The sequence below is a fragment of the Homo sapiens genome, chromosome 10, assembly GCF_000001405.40.
Source record: "Homo sapiens chromosome 10, GRCh38.p14 Primary Assembly".
Lineage (NCBI taxonomy): Eukaryota > Metazoa > Chordata > Mammalia > Primates > Hominidae > Homo > Homo sapiens.
In genome coordinates, this window is record NC_000010.11 from 126,449,266 (window position 1) to 126,466,529 (window position 17,264).

The 17,264-nt window shown below is 45.8% G+C and overlaps 1 protein-coding gene and 1 long non-coding RNA gene across 15 annotated transcripts in view, besides 1 other annotated feature; one reads left to right on the forward strand and one right to left on the reverse strand.

Annotated features, from left to right (window-relative positions):
• LOC728158 (uncharacterized) overlaps positions 1-11,692 on the forward strand; it is a 35,028-nt gene extending 23,336 nt beyond the window's left edge. The window contains exons 6-7 of the long non-coding RNA NR_148989.1: positions 7,459-7,685; positions 9,750-11,692. This is a non-coding gene — a long non-coding RNA (uncharacterized LOC728158). The remainder of the gene's footprint in view (positions 1-7,458; positions 7,686-9,749) is intronic.
• C10orf90 (chromosome 10 open reading frame 90) overlaps positions 1-17,264 on the reverse strand; it is a 245,697-nt gene that overhangs the window by 24,269 nt on the left and 204,164 nt on the right. For 13 of the 14 annotated variants that reach the window (NR_146939.2, NM_001350921.2, XM_047424560.1 and 10 more), the window contains 3 exons: positions 15,431-15,721; positions 12,136-12,320; positions 9,775-9,952 (listed from right to left, as the gene is read on the reverse strand). Coding sequence is in view for 13 of the 14 variants with exons in the window: in NM_001350921.2 (NP_001337850.1) it covers positions 9,775-9,952; positions 12,136-12,320; positions 15,431-15,721 (654 nt within the window). In the remaining variant the exon portion in view is untranslated. The remainder of the gene's footprint in view (positions 1-9,774; positions 9,953-12,135; positions 12,321-15,430; positions 15,722-17,264) is intronic. The other variant, NM_001350922.2, reaches the window with a different exon arrangement.
• Positions 10,327-11,526: an enhancer, noted in NCBI's record as "CDK7 strongly-dependent group 2 enhancer chr10:128148161-128149360 (GRCh37/hg19 assembly coordinates)". NCBI's record gives its function as "activates an origin of replication core promoter dependent on BRD2, BRD4, P300/CBP, MED14 and CDK7 cofactors, with strong dependence on CDK7, by STARR-seq in HCT116 cells {active_cell/tissue: HCT116}" and the evidence as "EXISTENCE:reporter gene assay evidence [ECO:0000049][PMID:35650434]".

The window sequence follows — 17,264 nt, forward strand, 5'->3', positions numbered from 1 at the left end:
ACAGAATAAAGGACAAGAGCCATATGATCATCTCAAAAGACACTGAGAAAACATTTGACAAAATTCAACATCCTTTTATGGTAAAACTTCTCAACAAATTAGGTGTAGAAGGAATATACCTCAACACATTAACGGCCATATATAATAAGCCCACAGCTAACATCATACTCAATGATGAAAAGTTGAAAGCTTTTCCTCTAAGACCAGGAATAAAACAAGGATACCTATTATTGCTGCTTCTATCCAACATAGTAGTGGAAGTCCTAGCTATGGCAATTATTTAAGAAAAAAAATAAAAGCATTCACGTTGGAAAGAAAGAGTGAACTCACCTCTGCAGATGACATGATCTTATATGTAGAAACCCCTAAAAACTCCACCACAAAACAGAAATAATAAACAAATTCAGTAAAATAGTAGGATACAAAATCAACATACAAAAATCAGTAGCGGGGCCAGGCGCGATGGCTCATGCCTGTAATCCCAGCACTTTGGGAGGCCGAGGCAGGCAGATCACAAGGTCAGGAGTTTGAAACGAGCCTGGCCAATATGGTGAAACCCTGTCTCTACTAAAGACACAAAAATTAGCCGGGCATGGTGGCATGTACCTGTAGTTCCAGCTACTTGGGAGGCTGAGGCAGAAGAATCGCTTGAACCTGGGAGGCAGAGGTTGCAGTGAGCCGAGATTGCACCACTGCACTCCAGCCTGGGTGACAGAGACGCCATCTCAAAAAAAAAAAAAAAAATCAGTAGCATTTCTGTACACACACAATGAACTATATGAAAAAGAAATCAAGAAAACAATCCCATTTACACTGACATCACAAAAATAAAATACATAGAAATAAATTTAACTGAGGAAGTGAAATATATATGTACACTAAAAGCTATAGAACACTGATGAAAGAAACTGAAGACATAATTAAAAGACAAGAAGTAAAAAGTAAGAGTAAAAAGATATTCCATGCTCACAGATTTGCAGAATATTGTTAAAATATCTGTACTACCCAATGTGATCTACAGATTTAATGCAACACCTATCAAAATTTCAATGACATTTTTCACAGAAATAGAAAATGCAATCTTAAAATTCATATGAATCTGCAGACGACTCCAAATAGCCCAAGCGATTGAGAGCAAAAAGAATAAAACTGGAGACATCACGGTATCTAATTTTAAAATCTCTTATGAAGTCATAGTAATCAAAACAGCATGGTGCTGGCATAAAAACAAGTAGACTGATGGAACAGACTGGAAAGCCCAGAAATACATCTATGTATTTACATTCAACTAATCTTTGACAAAGGAGCTGAGAATATACAATGGGGAGAGGAAAATCTCTTCAACAAATTGAGTTGGGAAGATTGGATATCCACATGCAGAAGAATGAAATTAGACTTTTAATTTACACCATATTTAAAAATGAACTGAAAATGAATTAAAGAGTTAAATGTAATTCCTGAAACTCTAAAACTACTAGAAGAAAACAGAGGAAAAGCTCTGTGGCATTAGTTTGGGCAATAATTTTTTGGATGTGACCTCAAAAGCACAGGCAACAACACCAAAAACAAACAAATGGAATTATATCACGCTATACAGCTTCTACACAGCAAAGGAAACAATCAACAGAATGAGGAGACAACCTGTAGAATGGGAGAAAATATATGCAAACCATATGTCCAATAAGGGGTTAATATCCAAAATATATAAGGAACTCAGACAACTTCCAATAGCAAGAAAGCAAATAACCTAATTAAAAAATGGGCAAAGTACCTGAGTAGAGATTTCTAAAAAAAAAAAATTGGCCAACAGGTATATGAGAAAACACGCAACATCACAAACCATCAGGGAAATGCAAATTAAAACTGCAATGAGCTAGCACCTCACACCGGTTAGTATGGCTATTATCAAAGACAAACTATAACAAGTGTTGGCAAGAATGTGGAGAAAAGAGAACACTTGCACACTGCTGTGGGGATGTAAATTAGTACGGCCATTATGGAAAACAGTATGGATATTCCTCAAAAATGCAAAAATAGAATGACCAATCCTACTGTTGGGAATTTATCTAAAGGAAAAGAAATCAGTATGTTGACGAGGTATCAGCACTCCTGTGTTCGTTGCGGTATTATTCAGAATAGCCAAGATATGAAATCAACCTAAGTGTCTATCAACAGATTAATGAATAGAGAAAATGTAGTGTGTGTATATGTGTGTGTGTGCATGTGTGTGTGTATTATTGTCCTTCACAGACACTGTGAGGTGTTGTGTTTTTATAAGATGCTTGGGAAGAAAAGATCAATTTATGCCTATTGATTGGTCTATTGATATATATATATCCATATGTGTGTGTACATATATATCACATATATGTATAATGTATATATACACATATGTGTGTATATATACACACAATTTCTCATAGTCTATTGATATATATATACACACACATACATACACATGCAACGGAATACTATACAGTCTTAAAGAAGAGGGAAATCCTGTCATCTGCAACACCAGAGATGAACCTGGAAGACATTATGCTAAGTGAAATAAACCAGGAACAGAAAGACAAATACTGTATGATCTTACTTATATGTGAAATCTAAAAATATCAAATTCATAGAAGTAGAGAGTAGAATGTTGGTTACCAGGGGATAGCAGGGGAGAATCCAGGAGATGCTGGTCAAAGGGTACAAAGTTTTAGCTAAACTGAATGAGTAAATTCTGGATACCTACTGTAGAGCATGGTGACTATAGTTAATAATAAAGCTTTTTTATATTTGAAAATTACTGGGAGTAGTATTAATACATCTTAAATATTCTCACCAAAAGTATGCAAGGTGATGGATATGTTACCTGCATTTAATAATTTCACAATATGTACATATATCAAAACATCATGTCATTCAGCACAAATATATACGACTTTTATTTGTCAATTAAATCTTAAAGTTGAAACAAAACGTGGGCGTATGGTTTTTTTAATGACAAGTTTAAACTGCTCATTTAAAGGAATTTTATCAATGACTTGAATCACAACCTCACCATAAAACAGCTACATCCAGTACAAGTCTGATAGTGTAACTTCACCGTTTGCTCCAATTCCAGGGTTTCCCAGCATTTTTTAGAGAACCATAAAATATGGCGATTTATAGATTATTAATAAACTTTATGCTTGTTGCCAAGTAGATTTATATCTGTGGTGTCACTGCAAGGTTTATTACTCAGCTGCTTTGTGCAGTATAAAGGGAAATCACTTGGAAAATAAAATCAAGGCAATTGGGAAATGTAACTCCTCATAAAGTCATTTTCCTTATCATTCTGAAACTCAGTGTTTTTACCTTACATTATTTTAATTGGAAGTACAATTGTCCTTTAAATCCACTTCTAATCAATAGACATAAATTGGTCTTTTCTTCCCAAGTATCTTAATAAAAACATAAAACCTCACAGTGTCTGTGAAGGACAATAATAAAAGTGTACAAGTGAATGTCTTTGAATTGGGGAAACAGCCTTTTCAGTAATTCATGCTTCCTGTTTTCTTTGTAGACTGATAAAGTAAAAATTTATTTTTATCTGATAAGCACATTTAAAAATTCTCTTGTGAGTAATATCAGGAGAACTAGCCCCAAATATTTATTAAAGGCTATATGGAGAATGAGAGCCTTGAGATCAGACCGGTCAACAGGAAGGATAGTGCAGCCTGTGCTCAGTGAGCAAATCTTTATTACTGAGATAACTGCCACCTCTGTCTCCTGTCTCCTGGGTCGCATCTTCAGCTAGATGCTCTGGGAATCCAAATTAATTTTAATACTTGCTCCAACCAAGAATCATCAGGGAAAGAAGATTTGTTGGAGAAGGAATTCTGCCGTGCCTTCCAGAGAATTCCATTCCTCTACTCGTGCATGATTTGAATGGCTCTGACTTGGCTCACCTTGGGAAGTGCGGATAATGCAATTTGGATGAATTCAGTCTGCTGTGCTAGATGCAGCAGGGCCTCTCGCAGTGATTTGGTGTGGAGTATGCCCACCAGCTCTTACAATCTAGAAGGTTTTCCAACACAACCACACAACCTTAAGCCAAAGTGAAGAAGGGAAGAAGGCAGGTGATCTGGAGGGATGCAAGAATACCAAGATGCAAAGAGTGTTCAAATGGGAGTGAGAGGAGAGGAGAGGGAGTGAAGGGGAGAAAGAAGGATGGGAATCAGGACGGCTTTGTAGAAGAAGGGGATGTTCCTGAAGGGTTTTCTACACATTCGAAGGTTAAGGGGACAAACTGAGAGAGCCATGGAAGAGGACCCGGACAGGCGTCCTCAGAGGGGGAAATGAGCTGAGAACAGAAGGGGGCAACGTGGGCTGAGTTTGAGCACTGTCAGGCTGAGTTAACTGCAGTGAGTACAGGCAGTAGCAGTAATTCATAACAAAGTGCTCGGCTGAGAGATGAAAGCCACCAGAGCCCAGCTCAGTTATTACAGGAAGCACAGGAAAGGGTCTGGGGGTAAGAGATGAATAAAAAGGCTGGACTTGAGAGGGGCTTGCAAGGTTAGGCAGGATTTTATAGCACAGAGAGGAGGAACAGACAGGCTTCTCTCAGGTGGTTTGGGAACCCTGATCATGAGTGTTTTTGGAGTGAAGGAAGGACAGGAAATGAGACCAACTGGAAAGGTTGAGAGTGGGCAGAGTCAGGCTGAGAGGCGTCTGGATTTTGGGGTGAGGGATGGAATCCAGGGAGGCTCTGAAGCTGGGCCCCCAGCCTAGAAGGAGATAACCAGGGCCAGGTTCGAGGAGCTGCAGTGGGCACAGGATACAGGCACAATTGTGTCAATGGGGCATGGTGAAGACTGCCACTGACTGAGCACCTGCAATCTGCAGATGTGGCATCCCCTATGACCACAGGGACTGTATCCTTACTGCCTGCAGTGGCTCTGCCCCCTACTACTTGCAGGGGATATACCCCTATGACCTGCAGGGCTTGTACCCATATGACTTGCAGAAGATGTATCCCTATGACTTGCAAAGACAGTACCCCTATGACCTGTAGGAGTTGCACCCCTACTGCCTTCAGGGCCTGTACCCCTATGACCTACAAATGCTGAACCCCCTATTGCCTGCAGGGGCTATACCCTCTACAACTTGCAGGGGCTGTATTCCTATGACCTGCAGAGGTTGTAACTTTACTACCTACAAGGGCTGTACCTTCTACAATCTGCAAAGGCTGTGCCCCTACGACCTGCAGGGGCTGACCCCGTACTGCCTATAAGCTATGGTTTACCCCTACTACCTACAGGAGCTGTACCCCTACTGCCTGCAGAGACTGTGTCCCCTACCTGCAGGGGCTGTACCCCTCCCACCTGCGGGGACTATACCCCCTAATACTTGCAGGTACTGTCCCCACTATGACCTGCAGGGGCTGTGCCTGATGCTTCACACTTATTTTTAGCCTATCCTGCTCTGGATTCATCCTGTAAGGCAGAGCAATGACAAATTCTGGAACACGCTAATTCCCAGGTTATGGCCGGCCTTTGAACATGACCCAATCCACTTGGGACCCCAGGAGCTGCATAGTGATGATGGGGAAGCCTTGCTTATCACTCCCAGGCAACTCTGGTGAATTGCACAGGTAGAGCCCTGACTTGGGAAGGAGAGAGGCCCTTGGGTTGGAGTGTACCTAATGTCGGAGACTTGAAATCAAAGGCCAGCTCTCCTGCCACCTTCCCTTGGCATGCCTGGGTGTCAGCCTCCCTCTTCCACATCTCACAATCACCACCTCCCACTGATCCCTCTACCTGAGAACCCCTGGTATCCACTACCTTCCTTATACCACTGCCCTGCCCAGGCCCCACCCTCATCATGTTGTACCTGAAGCTACACTACCAGCTCCCAGCCTTGCTTTTGACCTCAGAACAAGGTTACACTTAGCAGCATCTACAGTTCATCTTTCCTTGGGCTCCTCTTTGGCCCCTTTGCCTCCCCGCCCATCCCCATTTTACCATCCAATCATAGCTAAACTGCATGTCCCCAGCCTCCTTTCTTCACTGCGTGTTCCCTTCCTCACCCACCCTGCCCTATTGGCATGGTTCTCCCCCATGTTGGGAACGTTCCTCCCCAGGGTGGGAGCAAGGCTACCACCTATGAGTTTCCACAACAACCTTGGCAAACTCCTTTCATGGCACTCTGAGAATCCTATGACCATTGCCTCTTCACCCGCCTGCTTCCCCACAAGGTGGGCAGACTAGGGACTGTGCCTAGCACTGTGTGGGTTCTCAAACAAGGTACGCTGAAGAGATGGACAAAGAAGTTCCTTCTGTCACTGCTAGAGACGTGGGAAGGTGGCTCAGGTGGCACCCGGGTGAGGAGAGAGACTTACGCATTGTATTTATTGGCTCTGAGAGTTCAAACCACAGGTGATGAGATAGTCAAGACAGGTACAGACTGTAGCTATGACCTTGATGATGCTACTTCCTGGTCCCTCTAGAGTTCCCAGTTGTTCATGAAAATTTTCCTGCCTCCAAACAAGGAGTCCTAACCCTAATTAACACTCACCCACATGCAGCACTCTTCCCCTGGTCTCAAAGGTGCTCAGAATTCACTAGCTACCATGAAGTACAGCGGGTCCCCTGACTCAACACAGTCATCCCCTGCAAGTCCAGGGACTGGCTTCTCTGGCATTGTCAGCTGCCGGGGCTCCCACTTGAACCTTTCAGGTTCTGCTCCTGAGCCAAGATTGCTTGACAAGCCCCGATCAGAGGCAGCTACCCCAGCACCAAAAGCAAATAGGAGTCTTCTTTTTAACAGACGCCTTGACACTGTAGCCAAAGCTCGTTCACGCATATGATTTATGAACTAATTTAGCAAGTAAGAAAAACATCTGCATTTTGCTTTTATCATCTTGCCAGCAGACAGGCTGAAGACAAGATGTGTACTGCAGACTTGTTTAATAGGGCCTTAAACATTTCTTCTCACTTGCCCGAGCTTGTATGAGGCTCTGGTTTCAGAGGCTGTCTGATTTCACTGACCTAACACAAACGAACCCAAAAGTAAAGCTCTCATCGACACATAAATACGGCAGGGATGGTCAGGGTGGCCATAAAACCCACGTTGGCCAAGTCCCACTTTGAGAGCATGCTGCTTGCCAGGACTGTCTTGGAATGTGGGGAGTAAAAGGTACTCAGTTAACATTCTGAACTGAGCCTGGTTACCTTTTATTACATACAATTTTAAGACTTCCATTTAAAAGAATGTGAACTTGTAAGGATATTTGTTTCGGGCAAACACCACAGTTGAATGATATAATGAGTGTAATGATGTCGCCCCAACAAAAAGATATGTTTAAGTCCTAATCCCCCATAACTCTGAATGTGACTTCTTTGGAAATAGGGTCTTTGCAGAGGTAATCAAGTTAAAATGAGGTCAGACTGGTGAGGTTAGCCCTAATCCAATGACTGCTGTCTTTATGAGAAAAGGAAATTTGAACATAGAGACACAGACGCAGGGAGGATGGCCATGTGGAGACAGAGGCAGAGACTGTAGTGCCGCATCTACAAACCAAGGAACATCAAGGATTGCAGGAAGCCGCCAGGAGCAGGGAGGGAGGCTGGACACGGGATTGACCACTGAGCCTCTAGAAAGTAACCAACCCTGTGGAAACCTCGGTTTTGACTTCTGGCCTCTAGAACTGCAAGAAAGTAAGTTTCTGGGCTTGTTTTGTTTTTGTTTTTGCTTTTGTATTTTGCTTTTTCTGAGACAGGGTCTTGCTCTGTTGCCCAGACTGGAGTGAAGTGGTGTGATCATGGCTCACTGCAGCCATGACCTAGCGAAGCTCAGGTGATCCTTGCACCTCAGCCTCCCAAGTAGCTGAGACTACAGGCATGCACCATCACACCTGGCCAATTTTTGTACTTTTTGTAGAGACAGGGTTTCTCCATGTTGCCCAGGCTGGTCTTGAACTCCTGGGCTCAAGAGATCCACCCATCTTGGCCTCCCAAAGTGCTGGGATTACAGGTGTGAGCCACTGGGCCCTGCCAGTTCCTGTTCTTTTAAGCCCCTGTGTTTGGTGATTTCTCACAGCAGCCCTAGGAAATCAGTACAGATGGCCAAGGCCACATTGCCTCTGGCGCTTGGGATGATGGTGTTCCAGACCACTTGTGGCTGGCAGAATGGCACAGCCGGGAGGTGCTGGCCCAGAAGAGGAGAAGCTCAGTGCAGCACCACACTGAACAGGTTCCCTAAGGTCTCTGGGTCTCTGTTTCTTCCCAAAGTGAAGGGACCTGACTGAAAAGGAAGCCCTCCGTGCCATTTTGTGTGTGTATGTGAGTCTTGAGCTCTAAAGTGGCATCATTCTATAATTGCCTACCACAAATTTGGTAACTAACCATGCTCTCAAGTAGCATCTTCAGAACTATTGAGGCTGAGGGGCCCACACAGCCTGGGCACCATCACCCAACACTGCCCAGGGCCAGTGGAGGCACTGAAGGCCCCAGGGGTCTCCTGGTGCTGGCTTTGGTCCTCACAGCAACTTGAGAAGTCTGTGCCTGAACCCAGTTTTCTCTTTATTAGGCCAGAGATGAAAAAGCTTCCTGGAAACTATATCCCCATTGAACCTTTATCTGCCAATGGACTTATAGCACTGGTTAGAGACACATTTTCCCATGGGGAGCTCTTTGCACATCCCCTTTCGTTAGTATACTGGAACTTGTCATGAGGAGGGAGCAGCAGGTGTCTTGTCAAATATTTAGCCACAGGGAAGGATGCATTCAAATTCATCCTTCCCCGAGGTCTTTAGACAGCTCCACCAGCAGAGTTCTGGTGGAGAGAAGGAGACTTAGCCTGCCCATAGACTGGGGAGATTCACAGGAATTCTATTACAACACCATTTTCCTCAGTCCCCCAGGCACCCAGAATAAGATCTTGGTAATGTTTGCTAAGCTGCACTTTATTGAACATGGTTATTTCCCCAAAAGACTTTTATTCTGAGTTATACTCATGATTTCACCTCCTAGGGGCCAAAACATTTTCCTAGGAAGAAAGTTCTCATTCCTCTATCCAAAGGAATAAAACTGGGGTTTCTCCAGGCCTCTAGATTTTAAGATTTGGGTTGGCAGGCACTAAGTATGTGCTCTGATGTCCCCCATCCTTACCCTCATTTCTTTTTGTTATTCTTGCTAGTTTAATAGTCTGTTTATAAGCTCCATGAAGAAGGGACTGAGGTTAGTCTTGCTCCCAGCATGGCACCCAGAGAAGGGTCTTGATAACTCCCTCTCCAGTGAGTAAGTAAGTGCCCTCCCTCACAGGATCAGTGTGACACTGGCCTCACAGTGCTGGGAAGCCAGCCATGTATTCTCTGAGCTCACAGCAGGAAAGGGGTTTCAAGATGAGGAATGTTGATATAGACAAGCTGGAGTCAACCTCTCACCCCGAGATCTGTTTTGCAATCTATAAAGGGCAAAGGGGATCTCTTGCAAATATCTATTAGGAGCCAAGAATTTGAACTTGCTACCCTGGCTGCTACAGTGGTGTGGCTTCTGTCCCAGCTGTAATGGTAAATTGGTGTCCCAAGTTGTTTCTGCTGAGCTCAATGCCCATATGTGATCTCTCAAAATGGGCTGGCTCCAAGAACAGGATTTATGATGCTGAGGGTCAGCCACTTGGAGCCATAACAGGTTCTGCGTATGTCAGTGGCATCATTTGGAGCCATCACCCCTGAGTGAAGCCTCCAGCTCCAGGAACCCCCCATCCCTGGTCTTTTCCAGTCTCCACAAGCCACCTGCAGCTTACCACTCAGAGGATGGGGAATCGTGAACTGCTTCTTGCTGGTGCGGATGGGAAGGAGGCTCTGCTTCTGCCTCAGGTCCTCCTTCCGCTGGGCTTTCCTCTGCTGGACCATGTGTTCAAGCTTCTTCAGCCGTTCTTGTGAGCGAGAAATGAACTGAGGCTTACGAACTTCCAGTGCTTCCTATGCAAAGCAAAGAAAATACGTCATTTTTAAGAGCAGTGACACAGAAAGGCAACGCATCTGTCTGATGCAGCCAAGAAGCCGATGGCAAGCACAACACTCAGAGACCAAAAGCCACGGTGCAAAAGTACGTCACGCTTTTCTTGCACATCTTTGTGTAAAGAAGGTAACAGGCATGTTGACAACACAGGTCCTGGGGGTCAGGCCTGGCCAGCGCCGAGGCCCCTGCTGCAGCAGGATTGACCGGCAACTGGCATCAAAGCTGGGAGTGCAGAGGCAACGTCTGCCCATTCATCTTTCTACCCTGCTGAGTCATTTGTTCCCAAAAGACGATCCAAAAGCCCTACATTCTGTATTCCAAAGAGACATGGGAGTGGAGGGCATGGAGGTGCTGAGTCACTTGCTTCTGTTGCACTTGGAAGCCCCAAGAAGCACAGACACAGATCATCCACTCAGCGTGAAAAACGTGCTCTTTCAGGAGGCACCACAACTGCGGCTGAAGGAAACAGCTCCTCCTCCTGGGTAGAAAGAGCTGGGAGGAAACCTTTGCCTATACAGAAAGTTCTGTGAGCTCCACAAACCATGTCAGAAGTCCCTATGTCTCCACTCCCACCTCCATGCACTAAGCCACCCACACAAGTCTCCTGAACAAGACTAACTGCCATTCTGCTCCATCCCAGATGCCGGGCTAGGTGCTTGATGTGTATTCATCACCTCGTGGAGTCCCACAACTGTTCAGGAAGGCAGGAATATTTCTTTCCATTTGACAGATGCAAAAACTGAGGCTCATGGTAGTTTGGTAGATCACATGGTAACACCCTATCCACGGGAACCCCATTCTTTTCCTGCACTGCCTTTTATGGTCTTAACTTCCTATTCCTTGAGTGTCTCTGCTCAAGTTGTCCCCAGCCTGAAGTACCACCCATAGCCATTGGCTCAAGTTCCATCTACCCCAGGAATCCCTGTTGAAATGCCCTGTTGAGCCAGAGCATGGTGCTTCACCGATGGGCTTGAGCAACAGTGAGTCATATGTTTACCTCCGTGCTAGGCTGTGAGCTCCAGGAAGTCATGGGCCATGTCTCATTGACAATGCATCACTCACACAGTAGGAGTCCTGCATGTATATGCTCAGCAAAGGCTCACTGGGCATGCTGCCATGACTGAAACTTTCCTCTGCCCCCTTCCTCTTCCTTGGGAGCTCAGAGTGCCCAGGCGGAAGAAGTGTGGGCTCAGTCTGTATCACATATGTGTCCCTGGCAGCTACACTGGGGGAGAAGTCTTCTTGGCCAGCTCCCCACATGGTGCCAGCCACCAGGAACAGAGAACCACAAGGTACAAGTCACTGGATGTGCTGAAGCTTCAAGAGAGTTCCATGCCTAAAGAGATAACCCCTAGGAACAGCCTGGTGGCTCAGGTTTAGCTGCTGCCTTGGCTGTCCACCCCACCAAGAATGGCCTTAGAGACTTTGGGGGCACCATGAATGCCTCACCCAGGTCCCACCGAGGCCCCCTGGGTACAGGAGCCAGCCAATGGAGCCATCTCCACAACTGCAACTGCAGGGAGATTTGCAACCTTATTAAGTGCCTTCCAAGAAGGTGTGGCTAGCTGTGCAATACAGTTAGCAGAGGATTCCTCTGAGGTTGTTTGCCTTCCTAATTTTTATTTCTCTGTATTTTTTTAAACTTTATAAAATGTGTGCATACTACATTTTATAAAACAATTGGGAAAAGATGCCAAACTAAAACTTTCCTATCCCTCCATTCATGACCATGTGACCTTGGCCAACTTCACCTCTCAAAGGCTCAGTGTCCTCATCTGAAGACACTGAGATCTGGAGCCCCTATATGCTCCTACCTCCTGGGAGCCTTGCATGGATTGGAGGCACTGATGCCTAGGAAGTGACCTGTGGAATGCTGGAGCATCCATCACTGCTGCTGTCACTGTCACTACTGATAGTATTTGATCTTCATTCTAACCTGGAGGAGTCAGTGTCATTATCTCCATTATTCAAACAGTGACAGAGTGGCCCAGAAAGCTTAGGGGACCTGCCCAGTCACACAGCTGCTACAAAGTGAAATCAGGTTTCCAGCCTCAGAGGTGCAAGTGAGGTTGTGTGCTCACGGACTCCCTAGGAAATCTCTCCCTTTGGCAGGAATCAAGCCAGGACACACAGAAGGCCTTACTTGCAAGGTCAAAGATCTTGCAGGCGTTTGCTGAGACTCAGAACAGTCTTCGGACAGGCCAGGGCTCCCTGCTCCATCGCGGGGTGCTGGCGAGGGTGCTGCTGGGGAGGGCTCAGGTGTGGTGGGGTCCTCACTCTTCTTACATTCCTTTATTTTTACAACCAAGTCACAGCATGTGTAATCTCCTAGGAGAGAAGATTTAGAATCCCATTTAGAGGGCACCAAGTGATTTTCACGTGGCTCCTCAATACCATTAGACACAGAAGACAATTTTGAAAATAGAAACGCCAGTGGACTATTAATGGGCCTCGTTAAGCTGACAAGATCATGCCTCATCACAGAGCCCCCGGCCGCCCTGGTCACAAGGAAGAGCGTTTGCATTCAGCCAGACTTCAGGACCAGCTAATTATGCCAGGGAGGTATTCCGTAGGCTTCTGATGGTTAGGATGGCTTTGCTCAAAATGAAAAGAAACTTTTCTATTCAGTGCTTCATATTAAGTGTGTCCTGTCCAATTATCACAGTTCGGTTGTTTTGGGACAGTGTATTAATCTACCCAGCACTTACTACACTGATGATATAAGGACAGGGCGCTGGTATTCAATTATAGAGCCCTCCCCTGCACTTGCTGGAGACGACCACTGGCTTTGCATAAGTAATTGGGATGACTTCGCTTTCAAGGCTGGTTTGGGGCTCTTCCTGGGGCCATTTTGACTTTCCCTTGTGGAAAAGGTCAGGAAATGAATGGATCCAACAGCATCTCAGGCAAGACAGTTTCTGATGGATTGGGGATTAATGAGTATTCACTGGGCACTTACTGGACTCAGCAAGCAACACAATGTCCTTCACTCTGTCCTTAGCTCACCCCTCCCATATGAGCCCCACTACTTGCCTCACTGCACCTTCCCCTCAACACAGCACCCTGAAACCACCCCAGTTCTGAAAATGCATGGCAGCCTCTCCCTCACTCCTCACCCACATGCTTGCCTATCTCCATAAAGCCCCTTTGATTCCTCTGCCCAGTGGACTCCCACCCTCCAGGCTGAGTCCAAACCTTCCAAAAGTCTCCCTCCCCTTCCCAAGGCACGACCCATCCCTGCCTCTGCTACGTCACTGCAGGGAACACACATCACTCATTCAGCAGCATCCATCACCAGGTGGGGTTGGAAGATCATACTTTCACCCCACAAGCCTATGACTCCGTCGAGGGCTGGACCATATCATACCCACTCTGCATCTCTCCACAGCACCAGGTGCCCAAAAGGAGCTCATTCTCTGGGGAGTGGAGAGGTGGCCTTCTGGAGGCTCACCTGTCCGTGGGATGCATCTCCATGATTACAACGACTACAACAACTACAACTCACCATTTATGCCTGGGTCCTCCCTCTCCTGGGCCAGCTGTCCAACCTCTGCTCAAAATCCACCCACAGTTCCTATTACCTACAAGCCCAAGCCAACTGGAGTTTTCATGGCTGTTCATGGTAGACGTCCCACTTGCAGCTGTCGCTTTGGAGTCTCTACCAACAGCACACCACTTAGAAGGTTTCCAGTCATGCTCTTTCATTTTTCTGAGCATTTGCTCTGGTTCCTTCTGGAAAAGAGCGACTACTCTGCCCCACCCACCCCCCGTCTCCCAGTGCCCCTTCAGGCCTAACACTAGCCCCAACCCCCGTCCTGTGGAGTTAATCTTGCCTTCTGCCACACTGTTTCCATGTCTTCTTGTGAGCATGTTTTCTAGTTCACCCTGTGCACAGGGGAGGAAGCCACAATTTCTCTGCCTCCTTCTCCACCATTCTCCCCAGCACCAGAACCAGAAACCCAAGGGCCAACCCTAACACTCCCACCTCTTCACTGCTCAAAGACCCATCCCTGGATCCTGAGCGTCTCTGCAGCCGCAGCCCCTCCTTCACAGTGACTCCACGCTCTCCTTGCCGGCTGGGCCTCAGCCCCCAGCCGTGCTCCTCTCCCATCTGTCCTCCACATTGCGCACGAGGCAGTAGTTTCCTCTTGAGCAAATCTAATTATGTCTCTTCCTCTTCAAAGGCTTGGCTCTGCCTTCAATCCAGACTTCCTAAGTGGGTTTAGAAAGGCCTTCCAACCTGATGCACGTGACCCCTGCAGACTCACGCCAGCCACTGCCACCCCCACAACCCTTGCGCCCTGGCCCCACCCTCTGCAGGTCCCCAGATCAACCATGTTCCTCCTGTCCCAGCCACTTGCGTCATGTGTGCCTTTCCCTTAGCCTGCAATGCTCTTTGCCCTCAGGTCTGATTTGAAAACGTCAAATATACTTTCAAGTTCCTGCTCAAATCACTTCCTTGGCAAAGATGCCTCTGCACAGTCCCTCCTCTGAGTGTCAGGGGCCGTCCTCGGCTTCCCCATGGCCCACCACACAGACACGGCTATGCTGCTGACCGTTTCCTGTGCCAACGGAGAGCCTAGAGGGCAGGGGATATAAAGCACAGCATCTGGCATACAGTAGGTGCTTAATAAATGCTTCTCTAAACGATTAATGAATGAGAAGCTAGGGATTAACTTGTTACTTTTATAATTGCCATAACCAATTTAAATTTTACAACCCAAGCTGATATCTTTCTTTCTGTCCTTTTCCATAGTTCTTTGAGAACATCTTTAGAATGATAGGAAATGTACATTTTTCCTGCTGACATAACCGGGCACCACAGGACGTTTTTCCAATGTGTTCTTGTGTCCTTTCTATAACATTCTTTGTTGCACCATTTAGTAGTGGTCAGCAACTTGATCCCCAGAGAAATGATGACTGTGTTCTAATTCTTGGTTTCTTCCTCTGTGGGAGGCTGAGTTTGGGACCTACTTTTTGGGCACGTGAGTTCCAGTGTCTCATGCTTGTTAAGCGCTGGGGACCTGTGGAAGCCCCGTGCCTTAGTCATTATATCCCTGCTAGTTAGTCACAGGGCCACAGTCAACCCAGAGGACCTGCTGCCTTCAGAGCAGCCACACACACCTGCATCTCCAACCTTCCTTAGCTGAGCCTGAGAATCTGCTGTGCACCTGGGTGTGGTCTTCTCTCAGCCTCAAGGGAGTACTGGCCTTGCCCACAGTGGTCTTGAAAATCCCCGACCCACATAGGGCTGCCTCCTGGGTGCTTGGGAGCTTCCTACTTGGCAACCATTTGTCCCCTCTCTGCTCTCCCAGTTGGAGAAGGGGAGGTTTCATCAGGTGAACGGTGACAGTATGCACGAGGTCCAGGTAGGCAATCAACAAATTTTTATCGAATGTCAAGACCAAATGATGTCACCCACCACCCTCGCTCCTTACCTTTGGGGAACTTGCTTTCTATCTGAACACCATTGTCTTCCTGCAGAGATGCACATACATCTTGTAAGGGGCAAAGAAACCCAGGAAAAAGGATTCTGGGTTTCAGGAAGCTTTGATGTCGTCTCTCTGTGGGCTCAGAAAGGTCTCTAGACAGACAGTCATCGCTTGGAGAGCTATCCCCAATGGGAAGGAAATGTCTAGTGGGCTTCTGTTCCACTGGAGGAGCAGACACAGTCATACATACTTCTCCTTGTTGCCTCTTGCTGCTTCCAGAAAATACTTTTGTGTGTACTAAAAATAAAACGAGAGTTGTGCTCAAAATCTCTTATGAATCCAATCTAATGTACTGACTTCTACCGCACATGGTGCTTTTCTCGGGACAGACTTGGGGGGGAGTACAGCACTGCAAGTTCAGTTAGGAGGGCCATCTGTATACAGTGCTGTCTTGGATTGGGCTTGAAAGAGACTGTGCTTGGTGGTGTCCTTAGGAGCTCATATTACATTATCTGCAGTGAGCAATAGAGTGAGTTAGCACCTTGATTCTGGGGCCAGAGTACTTGAGTTCAAATCCCACCTCTGCTACATTTAAACTTTCCAGCCTCACCTATAAAATTGAGGTAAGGCAATAATATAATGGACTAATATTAAATTATTTATTATTATATTATTTAGGTTTCTGTAATCAGTTTATTTCTATAACAAATTATATCTTTTATATAATTTATATGATTATATTGTATATAACAACATATCTATATTATTATATAAATCTCAAATATGAAAATTGAGGTAATGTTATCATGAAATAGTAATTTATGTAGAGTGGTTAGCACAGTACCTGATGCACAGTCAGCTTGAATAAATGTTCATTATGATTACTATTGCAGAAGCATTGGTGCTGAGTTACGTACTATGGCGAATACAGAGATAGGAAACAATTTATCGGGTCAACGTGCATAGCTCTAATAAAGCAGTGGGTTTAAAGACGTGTACAACATGTCACTTGTTTCCATGTTGTACTATCAAAAGCCTGGGAACCACCCTATGTCCATTGATAGGGGACTAATTAAATAAATTATGGTACATTCATGCTCTGCAATGGTTAAAAAGAATGAGGCAGATGCTCTTGTGTGGATGTGGGTTAATCTGTAAGATACATTATCTAATGAGCAAAGCAAAATGCAGGACAGTGTGCTTCCCCAGTAAATGCTTTTAGACTCAGAAATCTCTCAAAGGACAGAGAAGATGTGGGAGACTGTTGTCTCAGGAGAGGGCAATGTAACACTAGGAATTGGGAGTGGAAGACAGGCTTTCTTTTCACCATCCATTTTGTACTCTTGATTTTTTTAAACCTCTTTTATTTTGGAATGCCCTATACGTTTTTTAAAGAGCTACTCTTTTTAAGTAAGGGAGGGACTGCACCATGTTTTCAACCCCCCATGCTGATGCCACCCAAGAGAAATGGCCCCACCATTGCTGCCAGTGGGAATGCGTCCTAGCCTTCCTGTGTGTTGGGACAGAAAAAAACACATTGGGAATCCCTGGAATAACAAAAGTTATAAGAATATTCTTGCTTGGGAGGCCGAGGCGGGTGGATCACGAGGTCAGGAGATCGAGACCATCCTGGCTAACACGGTGAAATCCCGTCTCTACTAAAAACACACACACACACACAAACACACACACACACACACACAAAAGAATATTCTTGCTGTATTTTCTCAAATGTCTTACATATAAAAAGGAATTGAGCTCATGACTACCAACCCCTCTCATCAATTTCTCAGAAGTCTGCAATTTGTTCCACACCCTCTGTCCTGGAGTGCCCCCTGCT